Genomic DNA, 21,364 nt, shown 5'->3' on the forward strand with positions numbered 1-21,364 from the left:
TGACAGGATCTGGTCAGGTGAGGAGAGGAGTGACACAGATGGGGAACTGGCACCAGGTCCTCAGGGGATGGCAGGCAAGAAGCTGGGGCTCATGAAGCTATGTGAGGCAGATTCCATAGAAGGAGACTCGGGAGCTTTGGGTTTCATTCTCACATCCTGAGAACACATCCAGAGACTTAAGTCATACACATTTGCTCCCTTCTATGCGAGATGCCAGATTCTGTACTTTGAAGGCCCTGGGCAGGGATGGAGGTCTTCACAGGAAGCAACACCCCGTAGGAAGCTGACTGCAGGAATTCCTGCATTGCCATCTGCACCCTTTGGGCCCTGAAGCATGACCCATCAGTATTTTAAGAGCCACGATGTGTCCTTGAATTGGAGGCTGGCAGCCAGCAGTCAAATGCCCTTGTTGGGATTGCAAGTTTCCTTCTCCTGGGGCCCATAGTTGTGTTCTCATGTCCCCTGCTGCTGTGTCCACACTGCCCCAATCGGGCCTCAGTCTGCCCAGCTTGGGGCTTTGCGCTTCCTCTCTCCCCACTAACTACTGCTCAAGACCTGGAGCTGATGCTCATATGCGATTATCATTGTGATAAATTCCCTGGTAAGGATCTCCTTCCAAGGTCTTGTGGTGACAGAACTGGCAGGAGATGATGAAGCCTTTTGGGGAGGCTCCTAGTGAATAATAAGCATTCTGACATGATGAGTGACAAATCACGATGATTAGGAGATATTATTCAAATAATTCCCCAGGTAATGTCTGGCTTTTGATTAACCGATCACCTTAAATGGGTGACTATGAGGTTTTGCTTTCTCAGGCTGATGATCCAGAGAGGTGGGGCTGGGGTGTCCTAGCAGAGGCAGCTAGGGCCTCGGTATCCCCAGACAGGCAGCTAAAGAAGACTAAAGGCTGTAGCAGATGGTGGGGGCGTTGAGTATCGGGACACTCCGCAGTCCGCAGAATACTCCCAGATCCACGTTAGGACTTGGAAAGCAGCTGGGTGTGAGAGGGCTTTGGGGTCCTGAGGGATTAGGCTGTGCTGAGCATCAGCCACCCCAGGAGGGGCGTGAGGAGAAGCACCTGCCAGGTCCAGCTGTACTGCCCTGGGCCGGCTGTGGGGAGAGGGACATGGGAGCAGAAGGAGGCTGAGGTGAGCTGGAACCCTGGACCAGGTCATTAGGTGGGTGCTCCCAGGAATGGCCTGGGTCAGACCCCTGTGGGCGCTCCAGGATGGAACAGGACATTACCGGAAACAGCGACATCACATGTCCCTTCTTGGAGGGAGCCAGTGGGTGTGGAGAGTGGTGCCCTAGGCAGTTAAGGACATCCCAGGTACCTCCCCATCTCCCACATGCACGGCCTTTTCAGGAGTCATTTCCAGGATCCAACATCCTCACCCGTATCCTTACATGCTGACATACCAGGGCCCAAGCCTGTTGCATGTGTTGGAAGCCAGATAAAGTTGATCCAAGAAGATTATTTGATTTTTCAATAAACCATTATTTAATAAATATATCATGATCTCCCAGTGGGCGCTAAGGCTTATCACGGGCACCAGTAGTTCCAAACATGGCATTCAAACCTTGCTTTGAGGTGCTCACGATCTAATAGGGGTATGTGGCTGGGTTAGTAGATTCTTTCTGCATGGTTTCAGAAGAGCCAAGGTGTGTGTAGGACACAAATGTACAATTAGAAACATGTTTGTTTCCAAGTGAGAATAGTTTAGCCGGACTTAGGTTTAAGGGACACAGCTGGAAGCAGGGGCTCTGGACCCAGCCAGCCTGGATATGAGTCTTGGCGCTGCCACTTCCTAGTTGTGTGATCATGGGCGAGCTTCCAAACTCCTTGTATCTCAGTTCCCTCATCTGTCAAACATGAATAGCAGTAGCATGTACTTCACGAAGCACATATAAGGACTGCATCAGGTAATATCTGTCAAGCACATAAACAATGCCTGGTACATAGCAAGTGTCATGGGAGTGTTTATTAAATCAGCAACTCCTGACCTCAGTAGTCACTGGTGTGTGTGCGGCTTCAGGATCCAGTAAGACAGCTCGTGGAAGGTTGGTAAAATATGGCCGAAACTTGTCCTCCACGGGGCTGTGAGGAACTTGAAGCACTTATCCCACTGCCTGGCACAGTAAATGATCTGTCAACTGTGTACAGTTATCCTCGTCCTTAAGGCTTCCCCTGATCCTCGGGTGCTCCAGAGGGTGCTGTTGCATCTGTCAAATGTTCTTACTTTCTGCAGCCTCCTAGTGTCCAGTCCTGGTGAAGCCCCTTCACATCCTGAATGGCTTCTGCCATCATTGTGCAGTGCTGGGCAGCCCGGGGTGGGTCACAGGCATTTTTTCAGTGGAGCTCTCAAATAACAGGTGTTTTGATTTCAAAGCTCAGTTCTTATCCACCACACTGGCTTACTGTGGGATGCAGAACTATTGCTGTGACAGCAATAATAGCATCCTCTCACTAGTACTTTACAGTTTATTCAGTGGGCCACAGAGGTTATCTCATTTGCTGAAACAAGTAACAGGACACAGTAGGCTTGAGATTCTGGCTTTTGATTGAGCCCAAGTCAAATTCCTGAGGAGTCTATTTTTAGAGTTCCCGACAGCGGACAGGGATGGCCCCTGCCCATGGCTTAAGCCTCCAATAGTGGTGATATCTCAGGGTCTAACTTCCACTTCATTCTGCTGTCATTTCGGAGCACAGTAGTTACAGTAATTTTTGAAAACAGAAAGCAACCAGGATAGCCTTGAAGAAGTAACCCCATACGAAGCAGGGGGATGGGGGCTTCGTACTCCTCCCATTGATTCCTTGACTAGTCACTAGAAGGAAGCTGACCCCGGAAAGGAAGTTTCCTACAACTGAGGGCCGTCCATGGAGAGGACCCTGGTTATCGGTCATCAACAAACAATACCTTTGGGGGAATGAGCGCCTCAGTTATAAAGCAAAGATCTTGGTAGCACTATACCATCCACTACAGTCCATCTTCTCTTGCAACAGTTAAACCTACATTTTTTTCTATTTTTTTTATTTATAATGTTTTGCGGTACATAGTAGCTGCATATATACTTATGGGGCACATGGGATATTTTGAGACAGGCATGCAATGCATAATCACATCAGGGTAAATGGAATATCCATCACCTCAAGCATTTATCCTTTCTTCGTGTTACACACATTTCAATTATACTCTTTTTTGTTATTAAAATGTACAATAAATTATGGTTGATTGTAGTCACCCTGTTGTATGATCAAATATTAGATTCATTCAATCTAACTATATTTTTGTACTCATTAAACATCCTTCCCCCCCCCCCCACTCCACTACCCTTCTCAGACTCTGTTAACCATCCTTCTACTCTGTCTCTATGAGTTCAATTGTTGCCATTTTTGGCTCCCACAAATCAGTGAGAATATGCAAAGTTTGTCTTTCTGTGCCTGGCTTATTCCACTTAACATAATGCCCTCCAGTTCCACCTTGTTGTTGTGAATGACAGGATCTCATTCTTTATTATTGCTGAATAGTACTCCATTGCGTATATGTATCACATTTTCTTATTCCATTCATCTGTGGATGGATGCTTAGGTTGTTTCCAAATCTTGGGTTTTGTGACCAGTGCTGCAACAAACATGGGAGTGCAGATATCTCTTCGATATCCTGATTTCCTTTCTTTTGGGTATATGCCAAGCAGTGGATTAACCCTACTTTTTCATGTAGAAAGTTCACCTCATTTGAGCACAACTCCTCAAGGATTCTGGTGATCCCTTACTAAAGAAGTTCACATGAGAAAGAAGAGTGTACAAACGATAGGCCCTCTGTGGCAGCTGGCCTCTAAGCCACAACTGATGATAATTCTGTTCCTTGTCTACTATCCATTCTAGAGTACTGTCGGTTTCAACCAGAATCTTTGCTGTTCTCTATTACTTACCCAATAGAGTAGTGCAAACCCTCATCCCGGAAGGTTCTGGGCTCCTGGTCCTCCACGACCTTCTCAGGCTGTGGCACTTACAATTGTCCCTATACTATAGAAATCTGGCAGGGGACTACGAAGACACATTCAAGGGGTCACTCGAGAGCCAAACATTCCTCTCTGTTCCCATTGTATAAGGGCAGCCCTACCTCCTCCTGATGATCAGAGCCAATATCCCTGCAAGCATGGCAACTCCTTTTTATGCTTGCTGGTCCTATAGCATGAGAAGCTCAAAGTGCCCAGATGGGAGCAATAGCTTGAAATTTAATGGAAAGAGTCCCATTAAATTGTTTTTTTCCAGGTGGAAGTAATCTTACTTTGGGAACCAATATATCTAGCCAGCACTGTCCAATAGGGTAACCAGCAGCCACATGTGACCATTGAGTATACAAACCTGGTTAGTGTGACTGAGGACCTGAACTTTAAATTTAATTTTAAATAGTGTAAACTTATGTGCAAATAGCTAAATGTGGCTAGTGACACCTTATTGGAAAGCACAGTTCTAGAACTACAGAACCTAAACTCATGTAGCAGAAAGTACAAATTCCCATACAGGTCACAGGGAGTGACAGTAAGTGAGGTCATTCCACCCTTTGGTATCTGCATCATGTATTCTATCTATTGATGGAAGAGAATGGTAATAGATTTAGGGTATATACAGTACAGTAGAGAATGACACCCCATCCTCAAGGCTGTGATCTCCAAATTTGCACCTCATTTGCACTGTGAAGAAGCCACTCCATTATTCCAGTAGACCAGTGGCTTTTGGGTGGCGCAGTATGAGATAACAACTTTAGATCATACGGTCATGTGCCCACTGAGCACTTCCTTTGCTATATGTGGGTCCCTTGGTCCCAGCTGATCGTATGGAGTATCCTGGCTCAGTGTATCCAACATTCTTTAAGCCCTGTGTTAGTGGTGCCCGACAAAGAAATGTGAGCAGGAAAGTCAAACTTATACCTGTAATGTGTACAAATTCCAGTAAAGATGAATCTCTGCTCCTTCCAGGATGGAATTTGCTGGACGCAATCAACAAGCCACAAGGGGCTGATTAGTCTCCTTAAGTAATGGTGCCCTACTGGGTATTCAGCACTGGCCTCTGTTGCTGGCAGTTTGAACATTTGGCAAAAATAGCTGGATATGCCTGGGTGAATGGGGACCCATGCTGTTGAACACATGCATAGCATCCACTTCTTCCACCGTGGCTATTGCACACATAAGGCCATTGTGTAGCATTAATGTGGCCAGCGACTGAGGCTGGCTAATGTCAACTAGTTAGGTCATTTTTTTCTTGATTAAACGTTTAGTGTCTCTTCCATGGTGAATGCTCTCTTGAGCCTTAAGACGTGATACAAATATCTTCACATATAGTGTCCCTTCTCATACGTCCATCAATAAACCTCCGTCCCCAATCCTGCTTATTGCAATCTGTCACTACTTCTCATTCTAAGTCCCTGAGCAGCTGTCCAATTTATTTTTCACTGTCCATAAGTCCATTCGTAGTTTGGGTCACTTCTTTTTTAGATATGAAGTGGATCATCAGATGCACCATTTGAAGCTCTGCCACCTGGGGATTTCTGCTCAACAATGTATTTCTTGACCACATACGATTGAGGTAGTATTACAACAGAAGTTCATTTTCAGGTTGCGCTCTAAATCCGGCCAAACCATCTATTATCTAAGCTCAGCACTTCTACTCCTCCAGCAGCTGGTCATAAGAGAACTTCCTGGTCCATTAATCTATAGGAATAAAAAAGAGCTGAAGGAGAGACACAGACACAACAGTGGCAGATGACATTGGGGATTAGGTCACCTGCTTGTAATCTATGGCCGTGCTGGTATCTGGTCCTGGATATGCTACTTCTATCTTATCACAGATTACTTTTGGAATCACCTGACTTTGTGGGTCTGACAGAACCTAGCTCATGATGATCAGTAGCGACATGCCATGTGCCTGAGGCCGTGGTGATCTGTTCTAGTGAAGATAACAAATCTGTTAAAGGCTCTTGCCATTGAGCTTGCAGTAGTGCAAAGTTGCAGTAGTCCCAGTGACCCATCAGGTTCTTGTAGGAGCCAGGCTGCTACCTTAAATTAAGATATGATGGGGATCACCACCCCTACATCCTTTAGGTATTAAGGGTGTCATTAACATTTTCCATCCCTCAGGATGCAATATTGTTTATTACTTACTATCATGGCCAAGGTGCAGGAAGTGCACTTGGCCTTCTCTACTCTGCTAGCTCTTCTACTAACAGCCACGGACCCAGTCAGGGTTTGTGCCCATTATCGAGGAAGTCCATTTCAATTTCCCATTTGGAAACTGGATAAATGGGCACTCTGGGTCAGACCTAGGCAAGAACTCCATTTATTCCTGGCCCACATTTGCTTCCACTCTAACAAACAGGGGGCCATGATGAAGCTTCAGGTCCTAGGTGTCAGTGTCAATGCAGATTCTGTGTCCAGCGGTCCTTGAAATGTTTGAGTGTTTTCCCCCTTCCCAGTGTTCAGTTACTGAGGTGAATAGACATAGGTTCCTTTGGAAACTGGGCTTGGAAAACCACTATTGTATCAACTTGCCATAGTATTGCAGGTGGTTTCCTCAAGAGGACTCTACCATTGTGTTATGTTCAGTTAATAAATTCTGTGTCTGAGAATTGGCTCAGGTCTGGAAACTGGGAGATGGATTAAAACTTTATTGGAGCAGTTTACCCAGCCTACTGCTTATTGAGCCTCGATTTCATGTGGGTATATAAGTTAAGCAACATACTTGTTGTCTGTTCTTCTATCTTGGCTCTAAAAGCACTGTGTTCTGTTAACAGAGTCTGCTCCTCTCTGCAGATGAGATTCCCTGTTTGCCACTCAAGTTTCCTGCTTATTATGATCATTGTGACCATCTTGCTTTTGAAATTTAAGTGCCACTTCCGTAGTCAAAGGGGCAGGTGGCCCAAAGCTTCCAGTTTGGGGTGAAATTGCAAGAAATAGAGACTCTGTAGACAGCATCTGCATAGCACCAACTCCAGAATTCACTGACCACAGGTGATGCTGTGGGCCCTGACCTCCCATGGCTTCCCAGGGTCTGGACTAGGGGAGAAAGTATAAATTTCACCAGAGCGCTATTCATGAACACACATGCGGCAGCTCCAGAAATTAAAACAAAACAAAACAAAACAAAACAAAAAAAACAACTGAGTCATGTTTACAAGAGGATAGAGACCCCGTGTCATGCAGGAGTGAGTGCAGTCAGTGAACTCTGAATTGTTAATGTTAACCCAACTTGGAAGAAAGAAAGTGCAATTGATTTTATTCATTGACATGATCCTGTATGCAGAAAATTCTAACAAACCCACCAAAAAGTATTAGAACTATTCAATGAGTTTAGCAAGTTCACAAGATACAAGGTCAGTACAAAAATTAGTAGCATTTCTATATACTAACAATGAATAAACCCAAAGTGAAATTAAGAAAATAATTGCATTAAGAATAAAATACTTAGGAAGAAATCTAACAAAATGAGTGCACAGCTTATACACTAAAAACTAAACAACATTCTTGAGAGGAGTGCAAGGGAATCTGAATGAGAGAGATGCATGCACTGTGTTCATGAGTCAGGAGATGCAATATTGTTAAGATGTCAGTTCTTTCCAAAATGATGTGTAGATTCTACATGATACCTATAAAAATTCCAGCAGATCTTTGTGTCGAACTTGACTAGCTAGTTCTAGAATTTATATTAAAGTGCAAAAGACCCAGAATAGCCACACGCATTTTGGAAAAAAAAAAAAAAAAAGCTGGAGAACATTTACTTGCCGATTCAAGATATAGTAATCATGACTGTATGGTTTTGGTATAGGAGTAGACATACAGATCAATGTAACAGAATTAAAAGTCTATAAATAAGCCCACATATCCTTGTGATCAACTGATTTTTAACAAAGGTGCTAACATATTAATTCCACGGGGGAAGGAATAGTCTTTTCAACGAATGGCACTGGGAAAATTGAATATCCACCTGCAAAAATATGAATTTGCACCTTTATAGCAGACCTTAGAAAAATTAACTCATAGGAGAAAATCTTCATTACCTTGGCTTAGGCAAAGTTTTATTAACATCAGCAAAGCACACTTTTGAAAAAAAATCAACAAATTGTACTTCATCAAAATTTAAAACTTTTTTTACTGGAAAAGTCACAATTAAGAAAATGGGCCAGATTTGGTGGCTCATGCCTGCAATCCCAGCACTTGGGAGGCTGAGGCAGATCGCTTGAGCCCAGGAATTCGAGACCAACCTGAGGCACATGGTGAAGCCTCCTTTTTACTAAAAATACAAAAATTAACCCAGCATTGTGACACGCGCCTGTAGTCCCAGCTCCTTGGGAGGCAGAGGTGGGAGGATCCATTGAATCTGGGAGGTTGAGGTTGAGGCTGCAGTGAGCCATGTTTGCACCACTGCACTCCAGCCTGAGCAACAGAGCAAGACTCTATTAAAAAAAAAAAAAAAAAAAAGGAAACATACGTCCATACAAAGACTTGTACAGGAATGTTCATCGAAGCATATTCACAGTAACTGAAAAGTTACAACAATCCAAATGTCCATCAACTAGTAGATGGATAAGCAACATATGCTGCATCTTTGCAATGCTGTTCAACAGTAAAAAGGAAAGGGCTACAGGTACATGGTACAGCATGGATTAAACAAATAAGCCATGTGATATAATTCCTTTTATATGAAATTTCCAGTAAAGGCAAATCATTAAAGATAGAAAGAAAGTGGATTAGTTGTTGCCATGGAGTGGGCTGGGCACGTGAATTAACTATAAGTGGGCATAGGAATCTTATTGTGTGATGGAAATGTTCTAAAACTAGGACTGTGGTGATGGTTGCATGACCTAGTAACTCTAGTAAAAAATCATTGATTTGTACATTTCAAATGGGTGAATTTTGTGGTTTGTAAATTATACATCAATAAAGTTTGAAAAAACCCAACAACCTAAGACTGGGCAACCTTGAAGACTTTAACTCTCAAGTTTGTCCACACTGAGCCTCCAGCAGTTCATCAGTTACAGTTTAAGTTTTCTGCACCATTACTGGCTCCAAAAGTGATTTCTGTTTCTGGGCTTCTGCTTCAGTAAGCTGTGATTCTCTGTATCCACCTGTCTAGCTCTCCAGTTTTGGGGGCACTGCTTTGCTCTGTGACCTTAGTTCTCCGATGAATCTGAGAAGAGTTACTGATTTCTGCTTTGCTCAGTTTCTGTTCTTGTTGTGAGGATGAGAGTGATGACTTCTAAGCTCCTTATATGCCAGACCAGAAACCAGAAATTTCCAATAAAAAGATATTTTCTTGTTTAATTTTGAAAGGTGATATTAAGCCTCTGCCTGGCACAACCTCTCTGGTCCTCCACAAGCTTAGGCCAACTCAGGACCCCGGTGTAGCCAGCCCTGGAGGGCCTCCACACCCTGAAGCATGAGGGACATGCCTGGAGCCAGCAGCTTTACAGAAGAGCTCTGGGGAGCAGGTTTCTGGGTGGGGGTTATAGAAGCTGTGGCTCAGCATCTGCAGCTGGAAGCTAACAAAGTGATGCATTCATTTGAGGTATTATCACAGAATGGGCTTGTGTACCTTGCAGCTGTCATCAAAAACCATCATTCTTCCAACAGTAACTTGTCCACAAACCGCATTTCCTCTTTGCCTCTGGAGCTGCATGAACTAGTAGTGGACTAGATTTTTGCCTGGATTCTATCTCTACTTGTGAGCAAGCGTTTTCCTTTAGTGGAAATTCCTTTATTCATAGTTGCCAAAAATTGGAAGCAACCAAGAGGTGCTCAATACGTGAATGAATTAATAAACGGTGGTACTTACAGACAATGAAATGTTATCAATAAAAATAAGTCAGGTCGGGTACGATGAGTCACACCTGGAATCCCAGCACTTTGGGATACCAAGGTGGAAGGATCGTTTGTGGCCAGGAATTCAAGACCAGCCTGAGCAATATACTGAGACCCTGTCTGTACAAAAATTTAAGAAAATAGTTGAGCGTGGTGGTGTGTGCCTGTAGTCACAGCTACTCAGGAGGCTGAGGCAGAAGGATTTCTTGAGCCCAGGAGTTCAAGGTTTATTATGGACAGTGAGCTGTGATGGTACCACTGCACTCCAACCTGGGTGACAGAGCAAGACACTGTCTGTAAACAACAACGATAAAAACAAACAAATAAACAAACAAACAAAAAACCCACGGAGGAACCTAGTGAAGAAGCCGGTCTGAGAGGACAACATATTGTGTGATTCCAACTGCATGACTTTCTAGAAAAGGCAAGCTGGAGAGACAGTTACAAAGATCAGTGGTTACCAGAGTTTTGGAGGCAGCAAGGGAGGGATAAATAGGTGAAGCACACATATTCATTGGGTGGTGAAACTGTAATGGTGGATACACAATATTATGCATTTGTCAAAACCCAAAGATCCTTGCAACACAAAGAGTGAACCTTCATGTAAACTACGGACTTTAGTTAAAAACAATGTATCAATAACGATACTAGTTCATTAATTGTGAAAAATGTAGCATACTAGCAGAGGATAATAATAGAGAAAACTTTGTACAGGGGACAAAAGGAGTATATGGGAAACGTACTATCTCCTCAATTTTCTACCAGTCCAAAATTTTTCTAATAATAAAGCCTATTCATTAAAAAACAACTAGAACTAAATATACAACTAACAAACAACCCAGCAATCACACACCTGGGAATTTATTTTAGAAAACTAACAACTTATATTCACACGAAATCCTGTACAAGAATGTTCACTGCAGCTTTATTAATAAGCAAGTACTGGAAACAGCCCAGATGTCCCTCAACAGACTAATGGTTTAAAAGACAACTGCTGGCCGGGTGCGATGGCTCGCACCTGTAATCCTAGCACTTTGAGAGGCCGAGGCGGGTGGATGACCTGAGGTCAGGAGTTTGAGACCTGCCTGGCCAACATGACGAAACCCCGTCTCTACTAAAAATTTAAAATTAGCCGGGCATGGTGGCGGGTACCTACAATCCCAGCTATTTGGGAGGCTGAGGCAGAAGAATCAGTTGAACCCGGCGGGGAGCGGAGATTGCAATGAGCTGAGATCACGCCACTTCACTCCAGCCTGGGTGAAAGAGCGAAACTCCATCTCGAACAAACAAACAAACAAAACCTGTGGTTCATCCAGGTCCCTTGGAATACTACTCAGCAATGAAAAGAAATAGACTGTTCATACACACAATAAGCTGGATGAATCGCCAGACAGTCATGCCAGATTTTTAAAAAGCCAGTACCAAAAGCTTACATAATTGTATGACTGCATTCAAATAACATTCTTGAAATGATAAAATGATAAAAATACAGAACAGATGAGTGGTGTTTCTAGGGGTTGAGGAGGAGAAGGTGGTGTAGGAAGAAAGTGGCTGTGGCTATAAAAGGGCAACATGAGGGACCCTTGTGGTGACTGTTCTATGTCTTGACTGTATCAAGTTAATATCCTAATTGTGATACTGTACTACACTTTTGCAAGATGTTATCATTAGAGGAAGGTACATAAAGGGTGCACAGGGTCTATCTGTATTATTTCTTACAACTGCATGTGAGTCTACAATTGTCTCAAATAAAAATTGAACTTGAATAATAATATGTAGACAATGCTCCCCTTTATTGCCTGCACGGGGGAGGAGCCACTCCCACACCCCATCCTTGGTAGCCAACTGCTCCATTCCAAAGGTATTTTTTAAGCGAGAGTGTTGCTGAATCAGTGTTGGATTTTCAATGTCCAAACACCATTAATTTAGTGCTTCAGAGTGCTGTTCATGATTTTTAGTAGGAAGGTTTTTGGTTTTTATGAGGGCAATTACTTTGTGTGCCTTTTATGGGGGGCGACGCTGGAACCATACACATAACTCCTCTCCCCAGCTGGGTCCACAGCCCTGCAAGCACACACGGATATACCAACCTTTTCCTCTTCTCCCATGGGCCAATGTGTTAAGGAGGAAATTTGTCTCCAGAATTCAGCCCCGACCCAATCCTTCTCCTATGTGCTTGGCTAACTGTGAATCAACCTGGCTGGGGTTGCCCATGTGACCCCAACCGGGCAACACCCACCTCCATCTCTTCCCACACACTACCTCTTCCCTCCTTCCTCTCTCCCCACCATCGGAGAACATGTAGACACACATATCAGTTTACAACAGACTCATTTAGTTTTCTTTTTTGATTTAGATTTATTGTTATTGATAAGGTTTATAATAACAAATTAAATATTTAAAATCAAAGGCCAATTATTAGGTCTCATTTAGTTGCTTATTTCATTTACTTTTATTTACCTTCCCCTAGTGTCTGAATAACTATCAAGAAACAAGTCAAACCTGTGAAAATACCTGTTAACATTCAACATATATTTTTATATATTTCTGTTCTATGAGTCATTTAATTTTCATCACCATGGAGCATGCCCTGCTGGGTATAAAATGTACCCTAGACCTTGTTGGCTATTTCTCTGGGGACTAGACCTCTGGTGACTTTGCAGATAGATCTCAGGTCTCTGGTATTGCCCTGAAATTACTGGCTGCCCAGGGGACACACTGGAGATGGTTTTGGTCCCGCTGTGGCTCGTTTTGATTGAGCTCCTCATTCAGCTGGTCACGGTGGCCTGGTAGTGTTGGCCTACTCCCTTCCTGGAGTTTTCCTCAAGCAGTGGTCATTTTGGGAGAGGCTTCTTTTCTGGAACGCCATCAAAGTGTTTCTTTTCCCTTGCTGGTTTGGGAACCTGAAAGGACAACAAGGAGATCACAGAAAGGCATTGCTTTTGGGGAAGTGGATGGAGGAGGGATGGAAAGACGGGTTTCATGAGAAGGGATACAGGCTGGGGTGGGGGGTTGTGTCAGGCCAGGATAGGGTAGAAGTCTTGGGAGGGAGGAGTCAAGGGGAAGACGAGGAGGAGCTTGGGTGGGTTCCTCACCTTGATAGGGCTTCTGGACCTTGATTGAGAAGGGGTCTTCCTCCTCCTCGCCTCTTTGGTGTTGGCAGGTGGTTGTTCCACAACTGGGCTGGAGGCTTATGGTTTCTTGGCCATCTTCACCTTGTCCTCGTCTCTCAATGGTCTACTCCAGGCCACCTGGCCTCCCCATATATACCCCTCCCAGGACAATGACGAACCACATCCCTAAGCTTTGACTAGTCAGAGAGCCACTACCCATCCAGTGGTGGCTCTGGAAGGCTTAAATATACAAAGCACCAACCTGACACCTCTGTGGTGATGGTGGGGGAGGGGTGGCAGTGAGGGGGCCAAGATGCTCTGGTTGGAGAAACGTAGCATTTCATTAGCAACCCTATACAGCCATCCAAACTAACCTGCTACCCTCTCCATCTCCCCATATTAAGTTCTGGTGGGTCACATCGTGGGGAGAGAGTGTTCCCTCCAAGCCTTCCCCCATGGCCACCTCATTGAGTGGCTCACTCCATTCTCTCCTACCCTTCACGATTATCTAATTTTTGTACATCTTACCAAAAATCCCTCCAAGGTAATATGGCCGATTTAGCTGTATGCAGAGATGTGAATCATCCCACTTCCCTCCTAAAAATTTATCCTATGTAACTTGAAGACCACTCACTTCTTGGTTACTGTCAGGGAAAAGTTCCATCCCGCATTCTTTTCCTAGTGTCCGTAGAGGTCCCTTCAGTTTTCTGTTTTCCAATCTGAAATCGCTGCCTTCAGGCTGTCAGGCTCTCATGCTGTAAACAGCCTTGTTCTACTGAGTATCTTATTAGTCTTGTTTCAACTATGGGCATTGTGTTCATCTCAGTCTGTGTAGTACCAGATTTGGGTTTTAACAGGAGGGATGAGGGAGATATTCATTTGCCAGAAGTTGTGCGGGGTGTTTGCATGCAGGAAACTACAACCTAAGACGTTTGAGTTCACAGAGGTGGAGTGGTTGTTCAACATTATACTTGTTGCTCAGTGCAACGAAGAAAGAAAAAGACCTCCAGATTGGAAAGGGAAAAGCAAAACCGTCTTTAGTCTATGCAGAAACCTGTACAAATCTAAAATAAAAGTGCTTCTAGAACTAATAATTGAATTTGGCATGGTCACAAGATAAAATATCAATACACAAAAATTAATTCTATTTTATATACTAGCAATGAGAAATTGGAAATTGAAATTAAAAACAGTATGATTTAAAAGTAACACTAGGCCAGGCGTGAAGGATCACACCTGCAATCCCAGCACTTTGGGAGGCCGAGGCAGGCGGATTACCTGAAGTCAGGAGTTCGAGAACAACCTGGCCGACGTGGTGAAACCCCGTCTCTATGAAAAATACAAAAATTAGCAGTGTGTGGTGGCGGGCACCTGTAATCCCAGCTACATGGGAGGCTGAGGCTGGAGGATCATTTGAACCTGGGAGATGGAGGTTGCAGTGAGCCGAGACCTCGCCACTGCACTCCAGCCTGGGCAGCAAGAGCGAAACTCCGTCTCAAAATAAAATAATAAAATAAAAGTAACACTAGAAAACATGAAATACATAGACATAACTATGATGAAATATGTAGAAGATCTGTACACCAAAAACTAAGAAATATTGCAGTGATAAATTAATGAAGGATAAATGCCTAAATAAAGTTTATTTTGGTATTTGTCTCCTAAATAAATGGAGATAGCTATCTTATTCATGAGTTGGAAGACTTACTACTGTTAAGATGTACATTCTTTCCAAATTCATATATAGATTCAATAAAATCCATATCAAAAACCTGAAAGACTTTTTTAAAAATAGAAATTGACAGGCTGGTGTTCACATTCATGTATAAGTACAAAGAACTTAGAGTAGCCAAAATAACTTTTAAAAAGACAACAACACGTGTATACCTGTGTAAGAAACCTGCACGTTCTGCACATGTATCCCAGAACTTAAAGTGTAATAAGTTAAAAAAAAAAGACAACAAAAGTTGCATGGGTTACACTACTTAATTTCAAGGCTTATTATAAAGTCACAATAATCAGAAGAGTGTAGTATTGTCATAACAATAGAAATGTGTCAATGGAACTAAAGAGAGAGTCTAGAAATATATTCACGTATATGTATTTATAGAGAATTCCTTATTGATTTGAATAGACAGTTCTCAAAAGAAGACATACATATAGCAAACAAGCATGTAACAAGTGCTCTGCCTGTTTGATCATCAGAGAAATGCAAATCAAAGCTACAGTGAGATATCATCTCACCCCAGTTAGAATGGCTTATATCCAAAAGACAGCAACAACAAATGTTTGCAAGGATGTAGAGAACAGAGAACTCCCATACACTGTTGGTGGGAATGTAAATTAGTATAACCACTATGAAGAACAGTTTGAAGGGTCCTCCAAAAACTAAAAATAGAGCTACCATATGATCCAGCAATCCCATTGCTGAGCATATACTCAAAAGAAAGGAAATCAGTATATCAAAGAGATATCTGTATTCCCATGTTTGTTACAGCACTATTCAAAACAGCCAAGATTCGGAAGCAACCTAAATTTCCATCAACAGATGAATGGCTAAATAAAATATGGTACATATACACAATGGAGTGCTACTCAGCCATCAAAAAGAATGAGATTCTATCATTTGCAACAACATGGATGGAACTGGAGATCATTTTGTTAAGTCACAACAGGGTGACTATGGTCAATAGTTTTTAGTTATTTTAAAATAACTAAAAGAACATAATTGAATTGTCTGTAACACAAAGAGTAAATGCTTGAGGGGATGGGTACCCCATTTCACATGATGTGATTATTACACATTTCATGCCTGTATCAAAACATCTCATGTACTTATGAGATGTACAACTACTATGTACCCACAAAAGTAAGAATTCTTTAAAAATGACACATAAAATGTTTTAAAAATGCTATTCCCACAATTGATTTTCCTTGTCAAATATTAATGGTACCCATTTTAGTCTAAACATCCTTGATAAAAGAAAAAACATAGGAAGACTCACACTTCCTGATTTCAAAATTTATGACAAAGCAACTGGTCAAGACAGTAGTGGTACAAGGATAGAAGTATAGATCCATGAAATAGAATTGAGAGTCCAGAAATAAACTCATGTCTCTGGGGACAACTGATTTTAATAAGGGTGTCAAGAGAACCCAATGGGGGAAAGAATGATCTTTTCAACAAATGGTGCTGGGGCAGCTAGATAAGCACATACAAAAGAATGAAGTTTGACCTTACCTCACAGTATATACAAAAATTAACTCAAAATGAACAAAAGACCTAAATATAAGAGCTATTACTATAAAATTTGCAGAAAACAACATAGGGGTATATCTTCATGACCTTAGATTAGGCAAATAATTCCTAGATATGACACCAAAAGCATGAACAGAAAAAAAATAGATAAATTGGACTTCACAAAGATTTTAAACTTTTGGGCTTCAAAGGACACCATCAAGACAGTGAAATGCCAACCCAGCTGATGATTGTTCTTCTCAGATTTCTCAAAACTACTCCTGTACATTGTCGTATACTCCCTCCCCCTCTGGCTTCTTTCCCCTGGGTTCCAGGGTCCCTGTCCCTAGTGGGCTGAACTCTGGATTCAGAGCTCTGAGTGCCAGCCTGCCTGGGGCTCTGTGGACTTGGTTTTGCATGTGGTCTCACTCATGAACTCTGACAATTGCTCTCCCCTGGATCCACCCAATGCCCCTCACGGGCTGAGCATGTCCTGTCTGCTCTCCTTCCGTGCCTCCTGGTCAGTCTGACTGAATCTTTTTTCCTCAAATGAAAAACATATGTTGACATTTCAAAATTTTAAATTTTAAATCATGCCCAGAGGAATAGTCTTACTTAGAACACTGCATAAATCCAGCTTCGTATGGGTAAGAAATTAACTTAGTGTTCTAATTAACCTAGCTAGAAAATGCAGAGACACAAATTAAAGTAACATTGAGAAAATATTTTTCACTCATATTTTTGATCAAAATTTTAAAATTAATATAGTAAAATGTTCACGAGAGTATAAAATATCCACATACATTAATGCCAGATCTGACTGGCAGACGCTGACCGAGCGATGGATAAAAAATGTACTCAGACACAGGTATCCAGTGAAAGAGAAGGCTAGGGGACTGGGCCATTCACATAAAGAGTTGTAGCAGCCATGGCCCCAACAAGCCGGCACTGCGGGCAAATATTCACTACAGATTTAATGACAAAGGCTTTGAGTCAACACATCTTGTGGGTAATTAACATGGCCGCCCCCCAGAGAGAGCAGTCCTGCACACAGATGGTTAAAGGCCAGGTTTCGGGCCTAAGTAAACTAACTGATCTAGATCAATTCCTTTACACTTCCTTGTTATCTGCTTTTTGCTCTCTGGCTTTGGATAAGAGACTTTGGCTGCCTTCAGCCAAATTTTTGAAGCTTTTGCAAAACCTCCTGGCCTTCCAAGGCTTGTGTTTTTCCTATAATTCCTTCTTATAATTTCTCCCACCACCCTGACCTATCTCTTACATCTCCCCCTTTTCTGTTTTTTTGCATCAGATTTTGTTGATTGAAGAGCACAGATGTGTACAGCAACATGTTTGTCTGGCACAGCGGTTATAACTCATATTCTGGCTTTGAATCCTAGAATTAGTAAATAACATAAGGCAAACATGAGTATAATTCACAACGTTCTTTTCCAATCAAGGAGTGACCCCCAGGAGTGGGGATCTATCCAGGAGAGATGTTCTCTCATACCCTTCCGTATGGCTATTTGTTGGGCTTGTAGGTCTATGGCGTTTAGGGATTCTAGAATTTTAGTTTTAAGTTGCTTTACGTCTGCTGTTAAATTATCACGAAAGGTTCCCCAGAGGTGCTGTTTCACCTTATCCCAACTATGTATTGATTGATTCCAAGGTAGAGAGGTAACACAGATGTGCCTAAGCTCCCAGTCACAGTTTAATTGCTGTTGGAACGCAAGTGCATCTTGTTGCTCCCCTACATATTCCAAGTCAGCCTCAAGGGCTTGCAGATGTGCAAGAATCTTTTGATCTATACCCTGCTGTAAGAGAAGTACATCAGACACATTTCTGGCCAAATTATCTACAAAAGTAGCTGTCTGTACTGATTCAGTAATAGATGCTACAGCAACACTAGCAGTTGCTAGGATGACTATGGCTGAGACCATAAAGGCTATAAGTGTAACTATAAATCTTTTGCGTCTGACCTGGGACAGGGCACATTCTAAGGTGGCAAGGGCAGAGGAACCTTGCCAATTGCATGTTAAATTGACCGGTAGGAAAGCCTCAGATTGTCTCCTCAATACCATGACACTAGCAATATTTAAATTAGATATATTATAATTAGTGATACAAGAGATGAACCAAGCCTGTCCCTGCATTCGAGTCACAAACGTGGAGTTTTGGGGTGTAATAGAAATATTGGTTCCCATAAGGAAAACATATGGATGGGTAGTGCAAATCAGGCAAATCAGGCACTGATCGGTGTGATTATGAAAAAAGGTCATAGTATAATTGTGACTGGAATTATGATATGTCCCATGCCAGGTGTTAAGGGAAGTGCTAAGATGTCCCAGGTGCCATAAAGTGTCTTGGGGTGGCATGGACTCTACTTGGGGTCTGGGATATCCCTCCCCCCATCGGCCCAAATTATAGGGGAACGGGATGTGGCTACAAAACTGCCATTGATGCCAAGATAGACATGGACATCAATACGATCGCCCTGCAAATGGCTGGGAGGACTCCAGTCTAAGATGTTATAATTGCTTAACTGGAGGCTACAGGCCTGTTCCCCGTGACAGACCTCCCAGCTAAAGTGGAATCCGTTACTTTCCCAGCTTTGTTCTTTAGCACAGGGAGGAATGTTTGGGAAAATGGCATTGATTGCATTGCCTGGTTTGAGGCTACCTGCTACTAAGACTGTTAAAGCATTTCCTTTGCCACAATGTAGCCAAAATTGTGTTTGAGCAGGTACACAGTAAGGGTTAGAACTTTTATAACTTACACACAGTGGGAGGATAGTGGAGTGATATGTAGTGTTACCTGGCACCTTAGTCCACTGTGTGCCATTAATGAGGGACCCCACTAGGGGTAAATCTATCTCTCCCAGCCAAGCAGTTATGTTATTAGAGGCTGGGAAGGGGGTGTCTGCCCAGGTGATGGGGCAGAAGAAGGGCAGATCTAAGCGATGAGTCCAATAGAGTGCAGCAGGTGCAGATTGCAGACAAAGCGAGAGCATAAAAAGGATCAATGCCCTACATGAGTTGCAATGTACAACAGAGAGCATAGCAAGGAACAAATTATCTGGAGTGAATGGTGTCTGTGTCCGGAGCAGGATTCGCTCGGCCTCCTGAGTTGTCTTCTTCAGCATCCCCCAGGTAATGTCTGGGGCTTGTGTCATCCGAGGAAGCAGTATTGTCTGGGGCTGCGGGTCCTGCAGGGTCATTTTCTTCATTTCTGGTATGGGTTGGGTCCTAGTCATGCCATGGTATGGTTTGATGCATCCTGCTGGAATCCAAAGAGGATCTGAGGGGGTGTGAACACAAGCATATCCTTTCCCCCATTTAAGCAATTCATTTGGACCATACCATACATTACTGTTTACAACTTTCTGTAAAACAGCAGGTTTTATGTCTTGAGAGGTTTTAGCAAAGTGCTTTTCTACAGCTGATGGAAATTTATCTTTAAATTTAAAAAATTAAGGGTAAATAAGGCTTGTGCCAATAGTGTTGCAGTGTCCTTAACTCATATTCCCCCTTTTTTGTTTTTTTGAGCATATTTTTAAAGGTGAAATGGACATGTTCTACTATGGCCTGTCCTTGGGGGGTTATGCGGGATGCCTGTGGAATGTTGGATGTTCCACATGTGACAAAATTGTTGAAGCTGTGAGCTGGCATAAGCCAGACCGTTATCAGTTTTATTTTTTGTGGGCCGCCCCATAAATGCAAAAGTTAAAAGAAGATGTTTAATGACATATCGGGTGGACTCTCCAGGAAAGGCATGAGCACTAATTACATGAGAATTGGTATCAATGGACACATGTACATATCTTAGTTTTCCAAATTCAGGGATGTGTCTAACATCTGTTTGCCATAACTGATTAGGTTCTAGTCCTCTAGGGTTAACACCTGTAGAAGGAGGGGATGTGCCTGTGAGCTGGCAATCTGGGCATTGCAGGATAATTTGTCTAGCTACTCTCTGGATAAGTTGAAATCGTTTGGATAAGTTTCTCCAATTTTGGTGGGAAAATTGATGTTATTGGGTGGATTGGTTAAGCCGTGATGTCACCACTTGTAGGTCTGCTTGTTCATTGTCATAAGCCAGTGGGCCAGGCAGTGAGCTGTGGGCTCGAATATATGTGATAAAAATAGGATGTGTACGTTGATCTAGCAATTGCTGAAGTCGAACAAAAAGTGCACACAGTGTGGGCTCCAGAGTGGACTTAATGAGGGTTGTTTCAAGGTTCTGCAGTAAATAAATAGAGTAAGCAGGGTCACTAACAATATTGATGGGTTGAGCGAAAAAATTCTCGAAGGCCAATATTAAGGCTCCAACTTCAGCTCTCTGAGTGCTAGTAAATCCAGAATGAATGAGGGAATTATGCGGTCTCCACCAAATAGCCGCTGTTCCATGTTTACCAGAGCCATCGGTAAACAGTGTTAAAATGTTAGGTATGGGGGAGTGAGCTATTTTTGCAGGCAAAACCACAGAAGTATGAGATAAGAACTGAAGTCATTTATCAGCAGGAAGGGCATGCTCTACATGGCCTGTGTAATCAGAGAGTGCTGTTTGCAGGCCTAAAGATAAAGGCAATACTGCTTCGAATTGCTTTTTACTCAAAGGAATTCTGATGACATCAGGATCATAACCTAGCAACCTATTGCATTGTCTGCGGCCTGAATGGATGACTTTACTAATTAGCTGGATATATAGAGAGAGTGTTTTAGTCCTATTATGTGGGCAAAAAACCCATTCTAGAAAGTGCAGCCCTGGGCCCATCTGTCCTATTAATCCTCTTGGGGAATGTTTAGTGGGAAAAACAAACAACTGAACTGAATATCATGGATCTATGCAATCTAGTTGCCTGTGAGAAATAGCTTGCTCTACTCCCTCAATTTCCCTTTATGCTGCAGGAGTTAAGTGCCTAGAAGAGTCTAGAGCAGCATTGCCTTTTAATATAGAAAACAGGTTTTGGAACTTATAAGTAGTTATGCCTAAGGTGGGGCGAAGCCAGTTAATATTGCCTAGTAATTTCTGGTCATTATTTAAGGTGTGTAAGTTGCTAGTATTTAATTTAACCTTTTGAGGTTTTGCTGACCGGGAAGTTAGTATGTGCCCAAGGTATTTCCTAGGAGAGGACATTTGTACTTTTTCAGGTGCTATGATT

At 42.7% G+C, this 21,364-nt stretch overlaps 1 annotated feature.

The window, feature by feature from the left end:
* Positions 16,928-17,468: an enhancer, noted in NCBI's record as "OCT4-NANOG hESC enhancer chrX:148757169-148757709 (GRCh37/hg19 assembly coordinates)". NCBI's record gives its function as "activates a minimal SCP1, AML or CMV promoter by ChIP-STARR-seq in naive and primed H9 embryonic stem cells {active_cell/tissue: H9 hESC(naive and primed)}" and the evidence as "EXISTENCE:reporter gene assay evidence [ECO:0000049][PMID:30033119]".

Source organism: Homo sapiens, chromosome X, assembly GCF_000001405.40.
Source record: "Homo sapiens chromosome X, GRCh38.p14 Primary Assembly".
NCBI lineage: Eukaryota > Metazoa > Chordata > Mammalia > Primates > Hominidae > Homo > Homo sapiens.